The 24,509-nt window shown below is 34.8% G+C and overlaps 2 protein-coding genes across 16 annotated transcripts in view, besides 4 other annotated features; one reads left to right on the top strand and one right to left on the bottom strand.

Moving 5' to 3' along the window:
- Nucleotides 1–24,509, top strand: part of SGCE (sarcoglycan epsilon) — a 71,154-nt gene that overhangs the window by 13,431 nt on the left and 33,214 nt on the right. For 6 of the 12 annotated variants that reach the window (NM_001346717.2, NM_001099400.2, NM_003919.3 and 3 more), the window contains 4 exons: nucleotides 12,862–12,984; nucleotides 14,344–14,501; nucleotides 19,306–19,378; nucleotides 23,747–23,945. In NM_001346717.2, coding sequence (NP_001333646.1) covers nucleotides 12,862–12,984; nucleotides 14,344–14,501; nucleotides 19,306–19,378; nucleotides 23,747–23,945 — 553 coding nt within the window. Of the gene's footprint in view, nucleotides 1–1,738; nucleotides 1,807–3,254; nucleotides 3,363–12,861; nucleotides 12,985–14,343; nucleotides 14,502–19,305; nucleotides 19,379–23,746; nucleotides 23,946–24,509 lie in introns of all 12 variants that reach the window. The other 6 variants (NM_001346715.2, NM_001346713.2, NM_001346719.2 and 3 more) reach the window with 3 other exon arrangements.
- Nucleotides 1,365–1,864: an enhancer, noted in NCBI's record as "H3K4me1 hESC enhancer chr7:94270151-94270650 (GRCh37/hg19 assembly coordinates)". NCBI's record gives its function as "activates a minimal SCP1, AML or CMV promoter by ChIP-STARR-seq in primed H9 embryonic stem cells {active_cell/tissue: H9 hESC(primed)}" and the evidence as "EXISTENCE:reporter gene assay evidence [ECO:0000049][PMID:30033119]".
- Nucleotides 1,865–2,366: an enhancer, noted in NCBI's record as "H3K4me1 hESC enhancer chr7:94269649-94270150 (GRCh37/hg19 assembly coordinates)". NCBI's record gives its function as "activates a minimal SCP1, AML or CMV promoter by ChIP-STARR-seq in naive H9 embryonic stem cells {active_cell/tissue: H9 hESC(naive)}" and the evidence as "EXISTENCE:reporter gene assay evidence [ECO:0000049][PMID:30033119]".
- CASD1 (CAS1 domain sialic acid O acetyltransferase 1) overlaps nucleotides 8,531–24,509 on the bottom strand; it is a 124,364-nt gene continuing 108,385 nt past the window's right edge. The window contains exons 18-20 of one of the 4 annotated variants that reach the window (XR_007060140.1): nucleotides 11,252–11,387; nucleotides 10,656–10,739; nucleotides 8,531–10,440 (exon numbers count right to left, since the gene is read on the bottom strand). Coding sequence is in view for 1 of the 4 variants with exons in the window: in XM_011516495.3 (XP_011514797.1) it covers nucleotides 11,340–11,387 (48 nt within the window). In the remaining 3 variants the exon portion in view is untranslated. Of the gene's footprint in view, nucleotides 11,388–24,509 lie in introns of all 4 variants that reach the window. The other 3 variants (XR_007060139.1, XR_007060138.1, XM_011516495.3) reach the window with 3 other exon arrangements.
- Nucleotides 21,623–21,942: an enhancer, noted in NCBI's record as "active region_26290". NCBI's record gives its function as "activates an Ori minimal core promoter by ATAC-STARR-seq in GM12878 lymphoblastoid cells {active_cell/tissue: GM12878}" and the evidence as "EXISTENCE:reporter gene assay evidence [ECO:0000049][PMID:35858748]".
- Nucleotides 21,983–22,032: an enhancer, noted in NCBI's record as "active region_26289". NCBI's record gives its function as "activates an Ori minimal core promoter by ATAC-STARR-seq in GM12878 lymphoblastoid cells {active_cell/tissue: GM12878}" and the evidence as "EXISTENCE:reporter gene assay evidence [ECO:0000049][PMID:35858748]".

Raw genomic sequence — 24,509 nt, 5'->3', positions numbered from 1 at the left:
TTACAAATTGGTTGTACCTGTAAATCAGTTGGAGGTTGGAATGGGTAGGGTTTTCAGGTAATAGTTTATATTTCTTTGGGTTCTGTAATGGCTCCTCTGTCTTCTAGAGTTCACAGTTTTGTATGTGAATTACCTGACGGAATTGTGTAACCCATCTACCTAGACTCTCCATGGTGGAGTCATGAATATGTGTTTTAGAATTTTTTACTATGTATATTTTGGGGGTACATGTGAATATGTATTTTGGGGGAGCTGCCTACGTGCTTCCTATGTAACCAGCATGTTGCTTTTGGAACATAGCCATCAGGAAAAACCCTGGGGGTGGAGTATTTTGCCACAAGAGACTATTAGCATTTCTGATCCTGTTTTAGCTTAAATTATTGGGAAATGCCTCCTGTATTATTCATCTGGATTTAAAAATACATAACTTCCGTTATTAAATAAGCCATTTATTAGAGAAATTCATAAGATTGGTCATTTAGTAGATAAAATTAATATTCTTAATTTGACATATATTTTAAATTGAATACAAATTCAGTAGCTTATTTTGGGGGGTGCTGTGGATTTTGATTTGTACTCCTAGGTGTCACTGACATGATCACCTGAGGTTTTGTTTGTTTTTAATAACCTGGGTTTAACAACTTTTTAAAATTTTAATTATGGATATGTAATAGTTGTACATATATAAAGGGTGCCTGTGACATTTTGATACAAGCATACAATGTGTCATGATTAAATCGGTAGCCTCGGTTTTAGCCGGTTGCAGTGGTCCCAGCAGTGGTTGTAGTCCTAGCTACTTGGGAAGCTGAGGTAGGATGATTGATTACTTGAGCCCAGGAGTTCTAGTCCAGCCTGGGCAACATAGTGGACCCCATCTCTAAAAACACTACTACTACTACTAATAATAATAATAATCTGGGTTTTGAATTGTATTCTTTTCTCATTTTGAAGGGTTGGATTTTTCATAATTTAGCTTAAGTTCAGATTTTTACTGAAAATTCAGTTTGAAAAGGAAATATGCCTTTTACTTCTGATTTATTAAGGTGGGGAGCTCTTTTAAAGTTAAGTTTGCTATACTCCACTAACTGTTGCTGTCTTCACTTTCCTTTCCTTTTCTCATGCCCAAAGTATTTTCCTTACTTCCACATGCTTGGTCCTACCCATTCTACCTTTTCTTGGATTGTATCTTATCAGTTATGCTCCTGTTCTTTATCCTTAATCTCTTCCCCCCTTACATCTTTTCCTCTATTTAGATACAAAATATGTCATCCCTACTAAAATAACCAACCTTCTGTCCACCTTGCTACTCTTCAGTCTATCATTTGATCTTTTTGCTTCCCTATTCTGACCAGTGTTCTTGAAAGATTAACTGTAATTTCTGCATCTACATCTTGACCTTTTGCAGTTTGGCTTCTACTCTCACCACTTTATCAGAACTCCACTTTCAAGGAGTCACCAGTAACTTCTCACTTTTCAAATCTAGCAGTCTTTTCTAAGCTCTCATCCTCTTTGACCTTTTTGCAGTAAGTGAGGATGTTGATCACACTCTCCTTCTTGACATCTCTCTTCTGTTGGCTTATGTTACTCTTCAGACTTCATTTTTCAACCTCTGTGACTGCTTCTCTCTTTCTTTGCTGAATCATCCTCTGCTTTTGATATGTTAATGTATTTATTAACATGTTGTTTTGCTTTTGCTGTCCCTCTTACCTTTTGAGCATTCTTTCTTACTGCATTTCAGGTCCAGAAGTTAGGACAGGCCGGGTGCAGTGGCCCACACCTGTAATCCCAGCACTTTGGCAGGCCGAGGTAGGCGGATCACCTGAGGCCTGGAGTTCGAGACCAGCCTGCCCAACATAGTGAAACCCCATCTCTACCAAAAATACAAAAATTAGCCAGGCATGGTGGTGCATGCCTGTAGTCCCAGCTACTCCAGAGGTTGAGGCTGGAGAATCTCTTGAACCCAGGAGGCGGAGGTTGCAGTGAGCCGAGATCACGCCACTGCACACCAGACTGGGCAACAGAGTGAGACTCCATCTCAAAAAAACAAAAACAAAAAACAAACAAAACAAACACACAGAAGCTAGGACAAATCCCATGGGCAGTTCTTGGGCTGAGCTGAATCCACAAGGAACTTACCTAAAGTAGCCCAAGGGAGAATAGGATGGAGAGCCAATATTGTAATCAGAAAAAACTGGTGCCCAAATCTATCATGTCTAAAATGTAAGGGTGAAAAATCAGAGAGTAGACAGCAGATTGGCAGTTTGGATGGTGAAAAACAGGATCAATAAGAACAGGAACATATATTTGCTCCAGATCACTTTCTATGTAAGAGCCTGATGTATGTGTTACCAGGGACATGGTATCTTTAAGGAATCACACTAGGGCTTTGGCTTCAATAATCATTTCTCTGGAGAAGAACTTTAAATCTGTATGTGAAGCCCCATTACATTATCTTCTTCTTCTCAGATAGTTTCACCTAGATGTCCAACTAGTACCCTAAGTTTAACATATCCTGAATCAAATTAATCATCTTTCTCTTGAAACTGACTTTTCTGAGGTTCCTAAAGTATTGCTATTCTATGTCATTCTAGATAAAAAATTCAAAGGCGTCTTTGATTCTCCTTTTATCCCTGCACCTAGCAGTTTGAAAAAGTATTGTCAGTATTATCTCCATTATCTCCATGTCAGTATTATCTCCATTACAAGGTGTCTTGTAATTGGCACCACTTTTTGTTTCCTTGTGCTTCACCCTGACTGCTATCTGACACTCTTGCAGTAGCCCCTACTTAGTATTCCTTAACCCCTATGCTAGTCATTGCTGCCAGTGTGAGGAAAATTCAACTGTGAATTTAAAAGGTACTTTAAACTTAACAACATTCCTAGCCAGAGATAATTGCTTCCCCATTAGTGTTCTTATAGCACGTATGCTTTCTACCATTTGTGTGTATAATTAGTATGATTTATTATATATGTGTGTGTGTATATATGTGTATGTATGTATATGTATATGTACATGAATTGCCAATCCCCATAGATTGTAAGCTCCTTCAGGGGCAGGAACTATGCCTTGGTTGTCTTGTATCCCCACATACTCCTTGTATTGACATACAACAAATATTTGCTGACTAGAATTAAACAGTTAGCTGGGCTGGAAGGAATCTGATCCCAGTTAATTGTAGGTGATCTGTGACAGTCATTTTAAAAAATCATGACATTAATTTCATTTTTTTGTACATTTGTTTTATTCTGAAAAGCTTTTTTATTAAGCTGTGCTGATGGCATAAATGGAACAGTTAACTGGAAGACCAGACAGGCCAACAATTTTATTATCAGCAGAAAAATGGCTGCTGGGATGAAAGATGGTGAGTTTAGGTTGTAAATCTAAATCCCTTTGGGGGAGCCAATTAAATGTCTGCTTCCAATAGTCTCTTCCCTTTTTTAGTCATGTGTGGCTTTTTGTTGTTGTTGTTAGTAAGTCTGAAAAACTAAAATTTTGTTTTCCTAATCTTCTAAAACTTCTGTTTTAGATCCCGTGTGTTCTTATTCCATTATTTTTCAAGTCCTCTTCCTTGGCTGTAGCTTTGCCCTTTTTAAAGAAAAACTAAAAACCATTCCTATGTTTTTAACTTACCTTTTATCCAGTCACTAGCTTGCCACTTATAAAAATTGTCCTACTGTGGTTACTATAACAAGTTATTTATAATACTGAAAAACGTACATTTAACATGTATCATTTTAAATAGCAGTATGTAACCTTGGAAAAACTCATATTTTGGTTAATTTTGGATGATTCTTGTTGCAAAACCAAATTGATATGTTTTGCTATTACTTAGTGGCACTTGTTTTCTATTGGAAAGATGACTTGACCTGTAAATGATTGATTGATCCTTCTAAATTTTTCTTCAGTATCTATAAATGTGACCATCAGCAATATTCCAGGACCTTTGAAATAACGCATTTCATTATGGAGAAAAGGCATTACTTAACAGTCAAAATATTAGTTGTTTTCAAAATACCAGTTACCATTATGAACTTGCACTTAATATTTCTTTTTTTTTTTTTTGGCTTTATGATCCTTCACACAGAATATTAACTACATGTGTTCATGAACCTCAGCAGAATAGTAGTTTCTCTAACTTCGGAGCAACCAAAATGTCTATAAAAATAATAGTAATATTAAAATGTTTTGAAAAGAACAGTAATTTTATGTGATAAGATGATAATGCCAGATGAAACCTGCTGGGTACTTGTAGGATTGATTCCTGGCTTACTTCATTTTCTTCATACATCTCTGAAGTTGGGCATCACTAACATTTTTATAGCTGGAACCGAATTATTCTTCAGCTGGACACTTCTACCCCCAGATCTCTTTCACAATGGGACAAAGTTTCCCAACATCTATTTTCTCAAGTGACTTTGAAACAAACCTACAAATACCTGTGTATTTCTAAGGAATTTTCCTTGCTAAGATCTGTAAGAAAACATAGAGTTTCATACAAATAACTTCTCATGAAAAGATCACAAAAATTTGTTTTAAAAAGCACTAGATGCACTTGTTCCAGGACACAGGCCCATGATCTCATAGTTCTTTTCCCCACATTCTCTTTAGATATTGCCATCAGATTCTCCCAAGTTCCTTCAAGGGAATCACCCCTGATTACACCCTTATCTGGCTGGTTTCTTGAGCAAGCTGAGGGCCATCGGCTTCTTTGACACAGTCACTCTTCCTTTTTTCTAATCTATTTTCTGGTTATGGGTCCCCGGTGTCCTTCACTGTTGCAGTCTGCACTGCACTTCTGCTCTGTCATCTCCAAAGGACTTGGGACATGCCCTGGTTCCTTGTGCCTCACCGAGGATCTCTGAAGACTCTTCCTCTGGACTTCACATCATTTTTCACTAGATTGCAGTCATCCCTTTTCTTCAGTCTTTCCTCTTTAGCTTTGATCCCTGGAACCTCTGTTCTCTCTGAGCATGCCTCTCTCTCCTCTTGCTGTTTGATTTCCAAAAACAAAAAAATACTCTCTCAACAGCTGCTGCACTCAGCAGAGTCATCTATTATGGTGCTGTTCTCAGGGAAATGCATTTCAAGACCTTGACATATAGTGTCATCTAGAATCTCTAAGAGACGCCAGTCTCTTCCTGTTTCAAACTTCATACTGTCATTGAACCTCACACTGATTTTCTCCTTGGGACCCAAGAGATAACTAGAGTTTTCAGAATAGAAATGATCCCTCCATCTTGAATCTACTGAGGTAAAGAGTTTCGATTATCACATTTTCTTATTTCTTCAGTTTAGCTTGATCTCATCCTTTAGATTATTTTTCTTTCTTCTCATCCTATTTATATCCTATCATTATAGTTCTGAATTATCAAGATACCTTATACAGGGAGTAAGTTTTGTCAACTGTATGAGGAGAATTGTTTCATCACTTTTAAAATTATAATAACAAATACTAGTAACTTGTATGGCAAGGCCATTTTAAATGCTGTCTCAGATATAGAATGTTCTTTGAGATGTTCTTGACCATGAATCCCAGTCATCTCTTTTAGAAAATTTCAAGAGAGCACAAAAGATGATAGGATCATTTATATATAAAATAAATTTGACAAATATATGTTTTGTGTAGCTTTTTTTTTTTTTTTGAGATGGAGTTTCGCTCTTGTTGCCTAGGCTGGAGTGCAATGGTGTGATCTCAGCTCACTGCAACTTCCTCCTCCCGGGTTCAAGTGATTCTCCTGCCTCCTGAGTAGCTGGGATTATAGGCACCCACCACCACGCCCTGCTAATTTTTTGTATTTTTAGTAGAGATGGGGTTTCACCATGTTGGCCAGGCTGGTCTTGAACTCCTGACCTCAGGTGATCTGCCCGCCTTGCCCTCCCAATGTGCTGGGATTATAGGCGTGAGCTGCCAGGCCCAGCAAAGAATATTCCAATTCTTAGCTAAAGCGGTAGGATGGTACTTCTTCTGTAAATAGGATTCTAAGGAATTTGAATGCCTTAACTTTTGACATTCTACCTCAGCACCCAGTAAGTGGTTACAAAAGCAATAAGGAATACTCCAGATATGGACTATGGAATCTCTTCTTTTTTTCCCTGGAATGGGAGTAGGGGACCTACTTGAGCAAGCTGAGGGCCATCAGCTTCTTTGACACACCCACTCTTCCTTTTTTCTATTTTCTAGTTATGGGTCCTATAGGCTTGAAGCAGTCACTTAGTCCCTCTACGTTCAATTTTGTTATCTATAAAATGGACTGAACTCTCCAAGAGAGCAAATGCATGCAAACTCTGATTGTTAGTAACTGTCAGGAATCCTGGGTTAAGTAGGAGGCAGAGGCCATATGCAGGTAGGAAATAATGTTATGATCTGTCTCTTAATAAAGAAATATATTTGGCATGCCCAGACAGGATGACATATAAAGCTCTTTTCAATGTAGCATGCTATGACACTAAGCTTATTGATCACCAATTAGCAATGGTTTGCAACCTTTTTCCGATTGACATTTAAAAAACACACACATGAAATCACACAATAATCAAGATGTTTAGTTCCACTTTGGAAAAACTGAAAGTAAGTGGTTTTAGTTGGGGAAAATATCATGAAGAAACTCTTCTGCTTTTTTGTAGAAGATTCAAGTAATGGTTTCCTCTCCTACTTCATGTAAAGAAAAGTGGCCATATCTCCTAGAGAAATGAAGTTTACAAAGACACTGTAATGCCTTCTTAGTGATGGATTCCACAGCCAAGGCATGGACTATCTGTGACTGAAAAAAAAACAATAGCTGGCCAATGCCAGATGAATGGCCTGCAGTACTTTGATGTTGAGTGAATTAAAGGTGAAGGGCAGACTGCTGAGAAAAGCTTTTGATTCAAAGCCAAGATTCATAAAGTTGTATTGATAAAACACAAGGTAAATCTTAGTGAGAAAAACAAAAACAAAAACAGGTTGTCTAACTGGCTGGATATTGATCTCTCTTAAAATATTTCTCTACAGCAATTACCTGGCTTAATAATTAAATTTCAATTTGACTGTAGTAACAACATGTTAAAAAAATAAATTAGAAAGGAATCCATAAATGTATCAGGCTATGCAAACTTTGAAATGAGTTCTTTTGATGCAGAGACAGCAAGTGAGATTTGCCTCTTGTTCAATTCCTATGTATACAGGGACTCTGAATCTCATAAAGAGTTTTTAGATGTTAAAACTATAAAATATGAGACGAGAAGTATTATTTTTTGTCAGTACTTAACATTTTTAATTATCAGGGATGATGATACCTAGTTGCTTAGGCAACAATTTATTTTAAAAGATACAGCAGATAGGTGGCTGTTTAGTACTCTCTTTGTATCCTCAACATACCTTAAAACCTTCTTAATCATTCTTATCCAAAACATTTTTTTAGATAATACTTACTGTTAAGGCAATACTTAAACTAAGTTCAAATTACTTGAACAACTAATTTCCTAGCTGTGAAATATATACTATCATATTTAAATAATTTGAACTTAGTTAAAACACCTTTGCGATGCTTCCCAATGAACAGCTTCCATCTTCAAACTCTTCATGTGAGAAACAAATTGATAAAATTGAAATGCTTTTAGAAATAGACTTTAATTGCTTATTAATAAGTTACTTATTAATTATATTGTGTTATAGTATCTTAGGCTGATTTAGCTATAACTAAGGGCAACATATCATTTAATCCATAGATCTCTTCGTTTAAATTGTGCAGTGTATTTCCCACATATCGAATATGTAAGTGTTTTATACAATGCATTCAATCCATTTTTTATTTGACAGTTCACAGTTATGTAATATATGGGTTGAATTAAGACTTTCAATTGTACACCTATTTATTTGTGAATGTATTTTATAACAGAGTTTCTGCTGCCATCACCTTAAGTAATGGCTCTCTCTCAAGTATAGTAAGATCATCTATTCAGAAGTGTACTGCGTCAACTAAGAACTAGGAAATACGCCACAAAAGAGTCTTTCGGCAGCCAAAATAGATGCTGCGAATGCAGGCTCCTGTCTTTTACATCTAGCAGAGCCCTATGTGTGTTAAACAGCACGCATTTGTTTTTACTTCAATGTGCAACCCTGCCTCATTTGGTAGTCTGGTTTCTAAACCTGCAGCCGATTAATAACAGCAAATTAGAGGGGATAGAGAAGCTGCTATGGGAAACATACTGATAGCAATGAGAAATGACAGCTGACAACTTGTCTACAAAAGAGAAAACAAAATCTGTAAAACACACAACCTTAAAAAGCATTAGCAGACTGGGACCCACAGTGTGATCGGTAAATGACAAGGCAACCAAACAGTCCATACGGGTATCACCGTATAATAGAGCAGAGTGCAACAATTGATGTACAAAATGATGATCTTATACCATCATGAAAAAGAATCAACTGCAGAGTACTTCAGAAACATCAGCTCTGTGGAACAATTCATTTCATGTGGTTCTGGTAAACTGAGATTTTATTAGATCCTTGTAAACCTTAAAAATTAGAAAATGATGATATAAATGGACATTTTAAAGTGATTAGTTTATTAATAAAGCATCTATAAGAGAGACCTAAACATACTGGGTACCTAATCAAAGTCACCCGGACATAAATATTGACAATACTTTATGACTTTCTTCTCAAAGATTTCAGAAGACAGATGGCTTTAAGATTTAAAACTAGCTCAAACTTGCAGGGTCTTATACTCAGTTGTTATTTTATCTTTATAGCCATGTAATTGTTCTTGGTGATGCAGAAAAAGAACTGGCAAGTGTTCTCTGGACATTTTTGTAGTGAAGGGGCTGTGTGTGTGCCTGTGCTTATGCACATGCCATTAAGAATAATCATTGTGAGAATTGTGAAGTTATATGCTGTGGATTCATTGGCAGCGTACCACCATAGTACTTTCAAAATTTAATGTTTACTAAATACATTCAAACTTGCTTTGAAGGTAATTGTAATAAGCACACGTGCACACCCATATATTTTCATTATGGAGAGAGAGTTTCCACTGGACTATTAGTAAAGGAAAACAAGACATTGTTTAGCTAGCATGAGCTCCCTTTTTTTTTGCTACTGCTTTCGTGGTCTGTTATTTGATTCTGGGCTCTATGCTGTCACATAATATAGAGTTGTTGAAATGGCTGCAGATTCTATACCCTGTGAATGAAACATACAGATAACAGTTTTGTGAACAAGGTTTTGGTAACATGGTGATGAGATAAATTGGATCTATGTTTAGGGAGAGCGAGATAATGATCCCAGCTACTTGCTTACATAACCCTTTGGCTCTCTCTACTCAGATATGTAATTATTACTTAAAAAATTCTGTTCCTTATGACTACCTGTCTTCAGAAGTTTTTAATCTTTGTAAATCTAGCTATGCTTGCTATTTGGAGATGATATTTTTGACCTCTTGCGGGTTGGACTTTTGGTCTCATTGTTTTTCCCATTAATAGTGATAGAATTGCATGGATTTAACCACCCATAGTTTTCCAGTTTCATTTATATCTAGTGGCGTATGTTTGCAGAGGTAATGGATTTGCAGCCGTAGAAGATTGCAAAACCATGCGATACACAGAGAGGCCAGACCCTGTTACCTTGGCTTGATTAGCATGGCACTGTACACATGTATATTTCAGAGATTATTAGATCTTAGTGTTGTGGATTCTTAGAGTGTTTAAATTTGATTTTCAAGACTTGCTCTTAAGGAAAACAACATGCTTTAAGCTTATGGTTTGTGAGTGCTGCCTGGGCATATGTGACTGCAACATGTGTTAACTGTTAGTAATAGCCTCTGTAGGTGTTGGAGTGGACCCCATCAGCTTTATTTATATAGCTCACGTTTAGAACAAGAACCTATAGCTTCGAATTCTCTGTGTCATTTGTTGTTTTTGAAAGGAAGCATAGGTGTAAATACTGCCTAAATTGCCTCCGTTGCAGAGCTATTTGTTTTGCAAGTAACAAATGCGAAAGGGAAAGGCAAAGGGCACTCCTCTAAAATGTTGTGTGGGTGCCTGTAATTTAAACTGATGCTACAGAAAGGAAGTATTATTTTTACAAACAAAACATAGTGGCTTAGTCATTTTCCATTTCTAGATGATGAATGTGTCATACATCTGTATCATGTTTTTCTCAAAGTGAATGGCATACTATACTTAAAGTGAAGCAGCCTTTACTGTGGAGTTGCCAAGGTAACTGACCAGCAAGTATGCAGTTCAGCAGATTGCTGAAAGGCAATTGAGTACACATGAATAAAGAAATGTGCTTGTCATCTTCAAACCCAGGAGGGCCATGGTAGATTGTGTCTTGGCTCTGTAGAACGCAGAAATGTTTTTTATAAAAGCAGAAACTGAGATGTTCTATGCAAGTTCTTGAAGTGAGATGATATGGAGTGGCAGGTACCCTTTCTTTAATGGTTCCACTTCAGGACCTGTGGAGGGCAATGTAGAAAATGGAATCATTTCAGTATTATTTAATATGAACAACCTTTCATTTTGCTTTGTTAGCTAGCTTTTACCACCTTATAGCAGCAAATACTAAGGGAGACTATTAGTTTATAATGTCAATGAAGGATGATAATCTACAGAATGCTATCCCTCTAAGTATTATATATATTTAGTTCACTAATAGGAAACTTGTGTTTACCTCTGCCGTACTTTGTATTAGAATGTACTCATCCATTCCATAGGCATTGATACAATTATTCAAATATACCAGACTCTCTTCTAGCTGCCGAGAAAATAGCAAGGTAAATAAAACTTAGTGCTGTACTTCAAGGTATTTTTAATCTCTAGAAAGAATGAATTAGATAATTAGATAAACTACAAAGAGATTCCTTTAGATTATTTGTAATGTTCTCTGCTTTGGATGTAGGGTTGTGATCCTGAATTTAAATACTTTGATATACAGAGTGAAATGACTTTTTAGCAGGAGTTCAAAACTCCCTATTTTAACTCTTCTTTTCTTCCCAGTTTTGCCTCCCCCTACCTTAAATTTACCCCAGGATCCAGCATTACTGACTTAATTCCCTTCCCCGAAAGGCCCCCACAGTATCCAGTATTGTATCTTGCACATATGTTCACTGTGAAATGCTGAAATTCCACATCTCTGAGTTTCAGAATCCTACTACTGTAGTATTTTAAGAGCCATATTGAATTCCACTTCTTCCATAAATCTTTTCTGAATCTGTCCAACCTTAATTGCTCCTCCCATATTTCCAGGTGTTGCCAAAGCAGTTTTACCTCTGGGATAATACCTAGTTAGGTGGATGTTGGTCTCCCATACCAGATGGTGAACTCCTGGAAAGCAGTGGCAGGGTCTCTTTCATCTTCATATTCCCCATAGCACCTCACATTCAGGGTACATTGTGGTATCAAACTGGTAAAAAAAAAAAAGTATAAAATTCTCATCTTTACTATTTTTCTGTGATTCATTCATTCTTGTTTCGCGGAATGGGATTATTCCTGCTGGTAAGTACATTGTTCTTGAGTAGAAGTTGGGTACTGTAAATGCCACAGGGGAAGATCACTTATGAATACTAGTACAAAACAAATCAGGAAAGAATAGATCTCTCTGCATACCTAGTTTAAACATAACTTGTAGCTTCCTTCCCTCTGTTACACAGCCTTTGAAGTTATGTTTTTAGTAGTAAATCTGTAGATACGTGAAGCTACAAGTCAAATATTTTAGCTCAGTTCCCCCTTTTCTGGCAGCCATCCACCGAACTGCAGGGACAAGTTTTCACAGATAAAGAAACATTTTGTGGGAGTTTTTATTTTTGTGCTGAAAAATGTAGTTCAGTGATCTTGCTATCCAAGGCTTTTAGTAAGTTGTGAGCTTGGAGTGAGCAGCCTTGTGGTTCATAAGGTTAATTACCATATTTACAAATCCATTAATGACTTAAAAGAAAGAACTGGCCTGATAGGGTTTATCTCTCTAAAAATTGCAGCCACTAGCCAATCAGGAATATAGAAACCCAAAAGAGATCGTAGAAGTGACAAGAGTAACGGCAATAATGTGTTAGTGGAGAAGATGCTATCAGAGCAAAAACAATAAGTGGAAACTAATCAAAACAATTGGTCATTTTAATGTACTCATATCATATGTCTTAAGTAACTGGTAAATCATGAAATTTGCTTATTTCACTTAAATTATTTTGCCTGAATTTTATTATGTAATTGTTATTGCTTATTTAGGATGCAGCATAATATAATAGATTATATTGTTTGAATTATTAAATATCAAGATCAGAGAAAATTGAATAAATCATTTCTACAAGAGATGCGAGGAATGAATACCCAGAAAAAGTATCCAATGCATTTTTATAAGTATACGTAAAAACCGCATTACATGTATTGATAGTGTTATATAGTCTGACATGCTTTGTCTAGAAAACAATTAGTATAGTATGGATTCTTACCACTTAAAAATTACTCTGTACTTTGCTTTAAAAAAAAGGAAAGAAGAAAAAAATCTGTAGCAATTATGTAGCTGGTCAGTTCTCATGATGTATTTTGTTGGTAATAACTTCAAGTAAAAAGAAATTACCAAAAAGATATTATGGATAGCTTCATTATTTGATAACAGTCTAAAATATTAAATGTGCATAATTTTGTCTATGTAGTGTTTGAAAAGGCTGTAAACACAAATCAAAAGAATTTTTTCCCATTTTGTCCTGAAATCACTTCCATTTAAAACAAATTGTTATTAACAGTTTCCTTGCATGTTGCTTCAGTTTTTCCAGAAATGTCTACATAGTGAGACCCCTCTTTATAAACAGCGTAAGCTGAATTATCAAGGGCGTATCTCATTATTTGTCTTTCTGTCACTTATCTTTCCTCTTTGTTTTCAGTGTACAGTATTTTCTCCAAGGTACACTCCGATCGGAATGTATACCCATCAGCAGGTGTCCTCTTTGTTCATGTTTTGGAAAGAGAATATTTTAAGGGGGAATTTCCACCTTACCCAAAACCTGGTATGTTCTTTGTGAGGAAAAAAAAGCAGTTAACGTACTAAATTTTTTGTTTAATTTGCATAATATAGACATATATGATAAAATATCATTAACATTATTTCAAATGGTCTAAATATGTGATAAATTGTTGTAGGATATTTCTCATTTACAGATTAGAAATTTAATTACAGACAAAAATAATTTATTTTTGAATGTTAAGGAAAGCATATTTCTGGATTCTCAGTCTTGAGTTTTATGTCTCTGACAAGTGATCTACCTATATTCACATGGAAATAATTATAGCTGTAAACTTATGATTTTCTATATTAAGACCTAGATTCTCACATAGTACATTGATTTTTGGAAAACTATACATATGTTGTAGAGGAGAATGAAAAATGGCATTAGGTAAGAGCTTTTAAAAAGCTTTTACAATAGGAGATAATTTTATATAACTCCATAATAATATTATGGAGATTAATTTTTCCTTTTAAGTGATACCAATTATGAAGTCTTACTTAATTCACTATTGGTTTAAATATGTTATTTTGAGTGATCATAAATGCCATCAAGTTAATGAAGATATACAAAGAATAGCAAGAGAAAACATATCATTACAGCTCTTCCTTAAGCAGCAAATAAAAGTGAATTTTCTGAAAATTATATTGTATAAGAATGTTTTTAGCATTAGAATTGATATAACTATTCTTTTTGAAGATTATATGATGAATACTGTACCTGAAAACTCTTCCACAATATAGTTAGCCATGTTCCTAATAGTATTCAAGAAGATGAAATACGGCTTGTAAAGCATTTAACACAGGGCCAGGATGTGCTAATAAATGATGCTGTTATTATTGCTTGTGATTAATAAATGCTGTCGTTAGTACAGTTGTTATGGATTTGTAACGTCTTTTTCATCCTATCCTCCAGTGTTTTAAAATTACATTATTTTTGTTTTGATGAGACTTTTATAATTTTGGAATATCTTTCATACTCATATGATAGTGTCCAGAGTTTCATGAACGGAATATTTCGCAAAAGAATGAGTACATTAGCATGATTAGGGAATTCTCCTGAAAGATAGTTGTCTCACTGGCAGAACTATATCACTGTTAGGTGACCAAAAATATATTTCCAAGAAAATTGTATGAATCTGCTTTCTTTGTTGCATCAGATTTTGAAACAAATTAAACAACCAAAAGGATTTTTTTTAACGTGGTGCCCTAATTTAAATTCCCAGATGGGTTTTGTATGTGTGTATTTAGTTGGCTACAAATGTAAGAAAAAAATTTTAGACAGAATGTTTTGATTGAAACTACCAAAGCAACATGTGTGAAAATAACTGTCTTATGTCTTAATTCTCTGTTTCTTATCTAGGCGAGATTAGTAATGATCCCATAACATTTAATACAAATTTAATGGGTTACCCAGACCGACCTGGATGGCTTCGATATATCCAAAGGACACCATATAGTGATGGAGTCCTATATGGGTCCCCAACAGCTGAAAATGTGGGGAAGCCAACAATCATTGAGGTAATTTACACCTAGAAAGAGCAAAACTATACATATATGTGTGTGTGTGTGTGTGTGTGTGTGTATTGTAATTTGAGTTTTAAGTGTTGAAACTAAAGTTACCTGATGGTGGTTTTTAATATTTTGTGCATGGAAACACAGTAGATAACATTTGGAAATGTGCCATTCTTCTCTGTTTATAAAGTTTTTGTTTCAGCTTTTATATTAAAAATGACAGTCTAAATTTGTGAAAAAAATATGACCTTAAAAGAGATTATTATAATATGAATTCTATTTGAGAAAATAATTGTAGACTTGATAGACTTATTTGCTCTGTATTTTGAATTCAAGTTTTATGTTCATTGAAATATAGCCATCAACAGACATATACCCCTGCTACTTGCCAAGCATTGTGATAGGTGCTTAGGGATAGAATGATAAATAATAGGTGAATCTTGCCCAGTCTTCTTACAATTCAGGGGTTGGAGGACTGGGATGTAAACAAATACTTAGCCAACACTGTAATAACTGCTATAGTAAGAAGGTGCTGTTTGATGCAGAGTTGTAAGAAGGTAAAGAATTTACTTGACAAAGTAGAAGGAAGGCCATCTTGGGCGGAGGAAACAACACATCAAAATCTTAGAGGTATAAGAAAAGTCACATGGTCTCAGAGAACTATAAGTGTGGCTGGAATAGGATGTACCCTAGTAGGTAAATGATGGGAATGGGAGGCGTTGATGCTGGTAGGGGCAGATCTTTGAGGGCTCTGTAAGCCATCCTGGTACGTTTAGCCTTTATTCTAGAAGTGATGGTGATGTTACCATTCATCAGGTCCTCACCAGCACCTAGCATTGTAGCTGGGAGATACTAGAAATTAACAACAACAAAACAACTGTTACATTGAATCTTTAGTAGGAATTAATACAATACTTTAAAAAAATGAATGGATGTATAAACTAAAAGAATACAGCCTTTCAGAGGATTACATACTATGAATTTTTCTCCAAAGTTTTAGTCAGCTGTGTACTGTGGATGTGAGCTTCCACATTGGCCAATTCAGTTGGAATTGAAGTTTGTATTAACTGTTCAGTGATTTCTATCTATAAATCATATTCCTTAAGGCAGTGTAACTATAAGATAGACAGGTACTTAGAAGAAGCATGTTAGTTTGAGCTATTGTCAAATTAATTTTTTTAAATATTCAGTAAAAGTTATAAAAGAAATATATAAATGCAATTCACCACATTATTAGATTAAAGAAGGAAAAACAGCATAATTGTCATGATAGTTATGGAAAAAGTGTTTATTAAAATTTACTACCTATTCTTGATAAGAAAAAATAGCTCTTGGCAAACTAGGAATAGAAGTGAAGTTCCTTAATTTGCCAGTTTTTACCAAAAGTAATAGCAAACATCATTCTTCATAGTAAAATGTTAGAGAAATTTCATTTAAATTCAGGAACAAAACAAGAATGACTCTGTCTGATAAATCTATTACAGAATGTATTGGAGGTCCCAGCCAGTACAGTAAAGAAAGAAAAAGAAATTAAATCCCTAAGGATTTAAAAAGAAGAAATGGAAACCATCAATGATATAAATGGTCTGTAGACTATTAAGAATCTTAAGAAAGGCTAGCAGTGAACTGTGAGATCATTATAAATTACTGTTATATTTCTACACATGAATAGCATGTATTGAGAAAATACACGTTTTTAAAAATACCATTGTTAATAGCAACAAAAATGTTGAGGTACTAGGAATAAATCTAACAGAATATATGCCAGGTCTCAAGTCTAGGTAGATTAGGGATTACATGTAAAATGCAAATTTTTAAACAATTATATTAAAATGTAGAAAAATCTCTTTGACCTATGGATAGGGAAGGATTTGTTAAGTAAGACCTAAATATTTTTAAGAGAAAAAATTTATCAATTTCACTATATGAAATTTGTGAATGTCTGTTTATCAACCATTAAACCAGAGCATGATTTAAAAAGACAACCCACAAACTGGGAGAAGATATTTTCAACACATATAGCTGACTAAGAGTATCTAAAATAAAAACGAAATCCTGCAATTTAATAAGAAACAGATATTTCACTAAAGAGGAGACACAAACGCCAATAAACTTAAGTAGCTTGCTCTTATGGGTAATGAGGAATATTCAGATGGAGATCACAATGAAAATTTTGCCATCAGTAAAATGCATTGCAGGTGGATGTGGGAGTTGGCATCACTACTTTGGAAAGCAGTACTGAATATCTCATACAGTTGAGTATCCCTGTACCTTATTATCTGGCAGTCCTACTTCTAGCAATATGCCCCAAAGAAGTACTTGCAAATGCCCTCCTGGAGGCAGGTACAATCATGCTCATCAAGCAACATTTGTATAGCACAACACTGGAAAGCCACAAAACAATAGAGACCCAAAAGTCTATCAGCAAGAGAATATATTAATCTTGGTGTATTCACACAGTGAATGTTCAGAGCAATAGTGAACTTAAGCTTGCCCAGCAATATGGATAAGTGTTTTAAACACAATGTTCAATTAAAAAAAAGTACTAGAAGACCACCTGTAATAGTTTGCCATTTTGGTAGAGCTCAAAAACAGGCAAACTAAACCATATGCTTTAAGCATTCATGCAATTATAATAAAACTGTATTTTAAATGAATGGATCGTTAAACACCAAATCCAGAATGACTACTTCTGGTTGGGGAGAGGTAAGGGCTTAGGCTAGGAGAGAAACACATGTACTGGGATGGTTTCATAAGAGTTCATTGTGAGTGCATTCATTATATACTTTATGACTAACATACTGTGTTATGAATATGTATAAAAATATAGTAAAAAGATAAAAAAAAGAAAGTTTACCATATCTTTCATATAATATAGTGACTTATCTGTAAATAGCTCATTTTCACATTCATTTATAGTAACAGGTATAGTATTTTAAAATATTCTATTTAGTCAAGAATTTTTGTATCTTAAATATATAATATTTAATCATATAAGTCTACTAATTCATTCAGTAGATTTTTATCTGAAATATTTAGATTTTAAGTATCTAAAATAGATCAGCTCTGTTTTAGAAATTGGGGAATCAAAAATAAAGTATGCACACGTAGACACTCACATTTTCTTCTGCTTTGACGGTCTTCACATCATCATAATAAGTAAAATCTGAGGATATTACAGCAGTTAAATGTCTCATTGGAAGTGATAGAAGGACTACATTCTGTTATAGCTGTTAAAATTAAGCATCAACTATAAAATCAGGTAATAAAATTCTTCCTCCTGATATGAAATATTCTTCACTCCCTTCAATAGTCTGCATTATTTAAAAATAAAGACATTTATTGGAATTTATGAAACTTATAATAATGAAATTTGTGATGATTAAGGGAAGGCTACCCATAAAAATATTGCTATTAATTTGAAAAAATCTATTTTTTTTCTAAGCTGAAGCTTCATGATATTGTAACAAATAGTAGAGGATCATACTTTTTATTGAAAATGTGATTAAATTTTTTGCAGGGTAAACTTTTCAAATGATTAAGTTTCTCAAACAAAATCTATTTTGCATTTTTTGTATGTTTCATTTGAGCAAAAGTTCCTAGTTTGTTTAATGGCTAGTCTTAATTTTAATGTCCGGTGTGAAATTAATTGATCATGTGTCCCAACAGATAACAGCAAGGAAATAATTAAATATGATGGAAATTTGGCAAATCCTGGAGAGAGAGGTTCTTTTAACTTTATGGAGTAATATGCCTTTCAAAATATATACCTTTTAAACATTGTTAAAAGTTTAAAATTATTTATTTCAAAATTCTTACTGTTCTAACTCAGTATTTTCAATGACTGCAACTTATTTTTTGACACATGTAATGTATAAAAATCTTTGATATTTGTTTTAAAATGCACAAGATATTTATTTTTAGTTGAAGTCAGTTTTATCCTACTCTTTTGTCTCAGTGTCACCTCCAGCTGCAATCATTGCCAGAAGGTTAGTGCTGGGATTCTAAGATTTTGACACAATCATTTGTTTTTTTTTTTTTTTTTGAGGTACTGCAGATGTGTCCGAATGATTTAATATCTGTTATAAAGTTAAATAGGCCTTAAGTTTTGAAGCCATATCCTGTTGTTGGCCTTTGCTTTGTGTGTTGTTTGCACTGGCTGTTTCTGAATTGACTTTGATGTAAGTCTATTGGCTCTGCAAATGTTTACTAATATTTGCCCGTATGAAGGGATTGATTTGTGTTTTTGAGCATGTTCCATAAGCTTCATGGACTATGATCCTTACTACTTTACTCCCATCGTAAGTGAGATATGATTTCCAAAGGGTTATTTATGACATTTTTTGACTGATTGGGGTGCAGTTTAGTACTAAATGCAAAAAAACACAAAGATATGCTTGTTTTAAAGTGTACTTTTCATTATAATTCTTAAACTCCATTTAAAAGTACAAAAATTATTGTTTTTTTTTTGAAATCTTAGAACATCACTGGTAAGTAATTCATAATGGTTAATCCATTTACTAATGATGCATCTGCATTGCTACCAGTGCTTAATGGCCTTCTATGAAAGAGTCTTTCTGATTTTAACTTTTTGTTTCAGTATATTAAATAGACCTGACTAATTATTTATTTTCCCATAATATTGCTAAAAGCTCTGAGTTCTCATTGCCCAGAGAAGGAATATTTTGTAAGTATATCAACAAATAATGAAAATGGAAAGAATGACAATTTGTTTTCATTTTAATCCTTAATGAATTTCATTTTACAAAGAACATTTCACTTCTTTAATATGGTTTTCCTTTTATAATAGATAACTGCCTACAACAGGCGCACCTTTGAGACTGCAAGGCATAATTTGATAATTAATATAATGTCTGCAGAAGGTAGGTATGAAAATATGTTGATCATTTCTTATTTATAAGAAGTATTTCATTATGTTTTATAACTACATAAAATATAGTCAAGAATTTTAAAATGCCACATACCTAATATAACTGATGAAATAATAAGATATAGAAAAGAAAACTAAGCAATATGTAATTTATTATGAAATATTATGGTGTGTTATGATGGTGAAAACTCAGATAGGAAGCCAAACAGATAGTCCTCTTATTTCTCTAAGCCTTTTTCATTACCTTAAAATGGGACTAACAGTAGCATTTCTCTTATAAGTGTGGGGTAAGGATTCACAAGTTAAGGCTGGAGCACTGCACTCCAGCCTAGCTGATAGGGTGAGAGCCTGTCTCAAAAAAAATAATTACTAACTAGTTTTATTATTTTATTTAAAAATTTACTGTAGGTAATAGTCTAAGTATATGTGATAATATAGGGTTTCTGGAAAACAAATAAACCATAACTTAGGGTACAATTTCCTTCCTAAATAGTTTATAGTGTATTAGTAATTTGTAGAGTCTTTCAGCAATTTAAAGTTTCATATGCTCAAATTGTAAGTGATTTCCTAAGAATTTTGAAGGTTAGGGATAAGGAAGTATTCTCAGAATTACACTCTCAAATATTTTAATCAATTGGGAAAATATCACCAAATACTTTGTAGTTAATTTTCTTTTTTTTTTTTTTTGAGATGGAGTCTTGCTCTCGTCACCCAGGCTGGAGTGCAATGGCACCATCTCGGCTAACTGCAACCTCCGCCTCCTGGGTTCAGGTGATTCTCCTGCCTCAGCCTCCCGAGTAGGTGGGATTATAGGCACCTGCCACCACACCCGGCTAATTTTTTGTATTTTTAGTAGAGATGGGGTTTCACCATGTTGGCCAGGCTGGTCTCAAACTCCGGACTTCATGTGATCCACCTGCCTTGGCCTTCCAAAGTGCTGGGATTACAGGCACGAACCACCACACCTGGCCTGTAGTTGAATTGTATAAATCATGGAATGATCCTCCCTATGTTAGATATCATTTATGAGAATGACAGGAGGGAAACTGATCCAGAATTTTTTCCCTCTAAAAACAAGAAAACAATTGTGCATTCTTGATAGGGGAATTTTTGCTTCTATTTACTAGTGCAACTAAAAACAAATGAGCAAACACCAAACATTTTATCAGAACCTACTAATTTAGCATTAATGATAATGCAGTCAAGGCTGGGTTAAAAATTACTTTTACACGATATGAAAGAAGGAATTTCTGTAAAATTAAACGTGTATGGAGAGATTGCTTGAACACTTAAACCCCCTTAAGTGAATGTTTTCCCCCAGGTGTTTACCGGTATCAATTGTAGACAACAAATGTGCAAGTTTAAAATTTAAAATGACCTTCATATATGAAAAGCAAGTCCAAGTGCCAGTTCTGTGGGCCTGGACTGAAGACTCCCTGTCCACTCTGCCACTCCCCAAAGGCTTTTGGTAGGTATTTATGTTTGGATCAGGGAGATTTTTGTTCTTGACTACAGTGGTGATTGGATGCTTACATGCTGTCTAAGCTGGCCCTGTAGAATTGGAATACACTTAATGAGCAGAATAATTGAAAAGTTTCCTTCCTCCTTAGGAATTCATCATTACAGTTATAAAGTTATACTACAGTGGCCTTGGACCATCTCACCTCACCATTATGCTCTCAAAGGGACTCGAAACTCTGTCAGGTGTGAGAGTCCCTACAAATTGAAAGCTTGTTCTATAGTTTGAACTTCTTCCTTCTCAAATCTAGTCTCAGTGCTGTAGATACAGATTACTCAAGGCATCTCAATAGATGTTGTTGTTGACGTATGAGGACCTGTGGTCAAGTAGATACTAATGGAAGACTGCTAGACAACTGTAGGATTGAAAATTGGCAGCAGGGCTCTTTGTCTAAATAACGGGTTTGGAAGGTGTGCTAGTGAGAAGGAGTAGTAGACAGGTTTTAGAAGCCTCCACCTTTACTCCAGGCAGTGCTTGTTCCTCTGCTTTTTGTGTAGGGTTAGTGGCCCAAACCTATTTGAACCACTGCACTAAAGTCCATGCATTTGTCCTTGCTGGTCTAGACAGAAATGTATATGTGCAGTAGGATGTACATGTTTGAGCATGGCCTACACTCATGTTATTTATCCCAGATTAGATTTAGGAAAAGAAATAACAAAAGTTATATATCAGGGTAATCATGCTCTGTCCAACTCCCTGCCCAGCTGTCTCCTGTTCTGAGAGATCTAATGGGAAATTAGTCATGTAGACTCACACCGCATGAAGCTCAAGGAGAGTACATAAAGTGATTCTCTAAATTGGGTTTAGTGCCTCAGAGGCCTGCCACCAATCTGTTGGCCTACTGTTCTCTTGGCCTCTGTGATTTCCAAATATAGCAGGCATGGGATTTCCCCAGAGTTAGAAAGCTGCTGTGACTCATCTCTGGGAGGCCTGGCAGCAGCTCTTGGATGGGTAGATAGCAGGCAGCTGCCCAGCTCAAAGCCTCTGAGGGGTGTGGTGGCAACCACAGGCTTTGCAGCAGGTCTCAGAAAAGGAGCCATGAAGCTGGGTCACGTGGAACAGGAAAAGCCAGATAATAATTCTCCAAAAAGTAGCACTGATCATAAGAAAAAAGTTTTAGATACTTTTTAAGAAAACTGGATGTAAAAACATTGAATGAAATGAATAGATTTTAGACTTCTGGCATATTCAAAAGCTGTATTTGTATTATTTATAAATATTTTATTATTTATTGCCAAGAAACTTTCTCATAACACATTTCTGCATGACTATTTCTAGGTATGCAGATAAATGTAGCATGATTAAGCTATTTATCTGTATAAAACAGGAAATATGTCTATAAAACGAAATTTATTTGCATATATGAGAATAAATATATTTTAAATTGCAGATGGGCTATACATTAAGGAAATCTAACAAAATTGTAAGCAGAACAAGTGACAATATAGGAGATAAGCAAAGAACTTTCTATGATTAGGGCTTTGAAAAACTAAATCTTTAAAAAGTGATGACCACACTCTAGAAAACTCTGTTGAAAATTCTGAAGCGTTAGTTTCTTCTTTGACTTCATCTCAGGCATCAAATGTCCTTTAATAGGATGCTTCATAAGAAATAAGTTAACCAAGATTTTAGGTACTTAATGTAATTTTTATTTTTTGTTCATTAAATAAAAGTGGAATATCTTACAGATACATGAATTTTATTGAAATAAATGAGAGGATATACATAGTGTAATTACTACTGGGGACTTTAAATCTGTGTAGCACCTAGAAACATTTTCTTGTCTTTTTAAAGTAAAAATTCAGATAATCAACCTTTTCATATTATTATAATTAGAGCTAACATTTAATATTTTATAGGCTCCTACTATGTTTTGGGAGCTCTGCTGAGCACCTTATATATGCAGTCTCTTTTAGCATAGATAAAAGTCGTACAAGGTAAGTTCACATTATGAGATAAGCTTCTGGACCTCTCTAAAGATAAGCTTTCACGTATGAAAGTACAATGAAAAACACAAGCAGCTACACACCCTCTTGTTGTGAGAATTAAATGTTCTAATTCACCTAAGTCCCCTAGCTTGGCCTGCCTCACAGTACATACATTTAAAAAATTAACCTTTATTCTTACAGAAATATTATTAAATAAACAGAAAGCTATTATTTATCGTAAGAGAACAATTAGAATATAGAGAGTGATGATTTGTAATTGAAGAGTAGCATTTGAGTAACAAATTATATTTACTTACAGTTTCTCATATTGAAAGGCTGAATTTGACATGGGGTTGTTTTAAGATGTTAATCATGAAATATTTAGAGGGAAATTTTGATGACACATTGAGGAGGAAAAAACACTAAATCTCCAACAATGTGAAGTGGAATTCCATGAGAACTTTATAATTTTTCTAGAATATTTAATTATAGTGTGATTAAAAACTGTGGAATTGTTCTGGTTTTTAGAATTCCTTTTGGACATATAATTGATTTTTATTTCAGAAAAAGTAATATTTTAGCATGCTCCCCAAAAGATCAGTAATATTATAAATTTAAAATGTAGATTTAGCTTTTCTTAGTTGTTTTGCCAAATTCTATAACTATAAATTGCCCTGATGAGCCTCTGATGAGCCTTGGATTTTATTATATTGTAGATAAAGTTCTGTTTCTAATGTCAGTTATGTTTTTAGATACATCCTCTGTTAAACAGAAAGCCTTTAAAGTCAGTATTAATATTGCTTCCTGCTGCCAGGATTATGACAGAACTCAACAAATCGCAAATTGTTCTTTTGTTTCCTTTTTAAAAGACTACTTCATTAAAGATATGCATGCCCTTTTTCACCAAAATTAGACTTCCCGTTGCCATATCAAGCAGAATTCTTCATTAAGAATATGAATGTAGAAGAAATGTTGGCCAGTGAGGTTCTTGGAGACTTTCTTGGCGCAGTGAAAAATGTGTGGCAGCCAGAGCGCCTGAACGCCATAAACATCACATCGGCCCTAGACAGGGGTGGCAGGGTGCCACTTCCCATTAATGACCTGAAGGAGGGGTAAGCAGATCTTTATCTCATTGCCTTAAATATAGATTTTTAAATACGGTGATCTTATCAAACTTATTATAGATGGAAGATGGCCTATTGCATTTTTCGTTTTAATAAGAAATAGATATTGTAAAGATATGAACATACTAGTAATTTTCTATATTGGCAAAGATGTTGTGTTAGTGGTTTTTTATATCTCAAGTTCCTGGTCTGTGAAATCTAATTGTAGATGAGGATCAGCATCATAAATTATAGCACTAAGTCTTTTGTACCTTCCATTAAGAAGCTGATTATTTAGGGCCATGAATTTCAAAGGAAATTGACGCCCCAGTTATTAGCTGCAGAAGGATGCACAGACTGCTGTAACTTTATTCTAGGAAACTATTTCTTCATCTTTAACATTCTTTCCACCATGTGTCAGTGACTGATGGCTGGGGTGGATTTGAAACCCATTCCTGTGACACAAAGGCCTAAAGCCTGACCTTGTCACTCACAAGCTGGGTGACACTGGGCAAACCCTGAACTCCTCAGTGCCTCAACTTCCTCATCTGTTCCTGTGGGGATATGTTCTCC

This window comes from Homo sapiens, chromosome 7 (genome assembly GCF_000001405.40).
Source record: "Homo sapiens chromosome 7, GRCh38.p14 Primary Assembly".
NCBI lineage: Eukaryota > Metazoa > Chordata > Mammalia > Primates > Hominidae > Homo > Homo sapiens.
The sequence above is the reverse complement of the archived record's forward strand: the minus strand, read 5'-3'. Positions and strand labels throughout refer to the sequence as shown.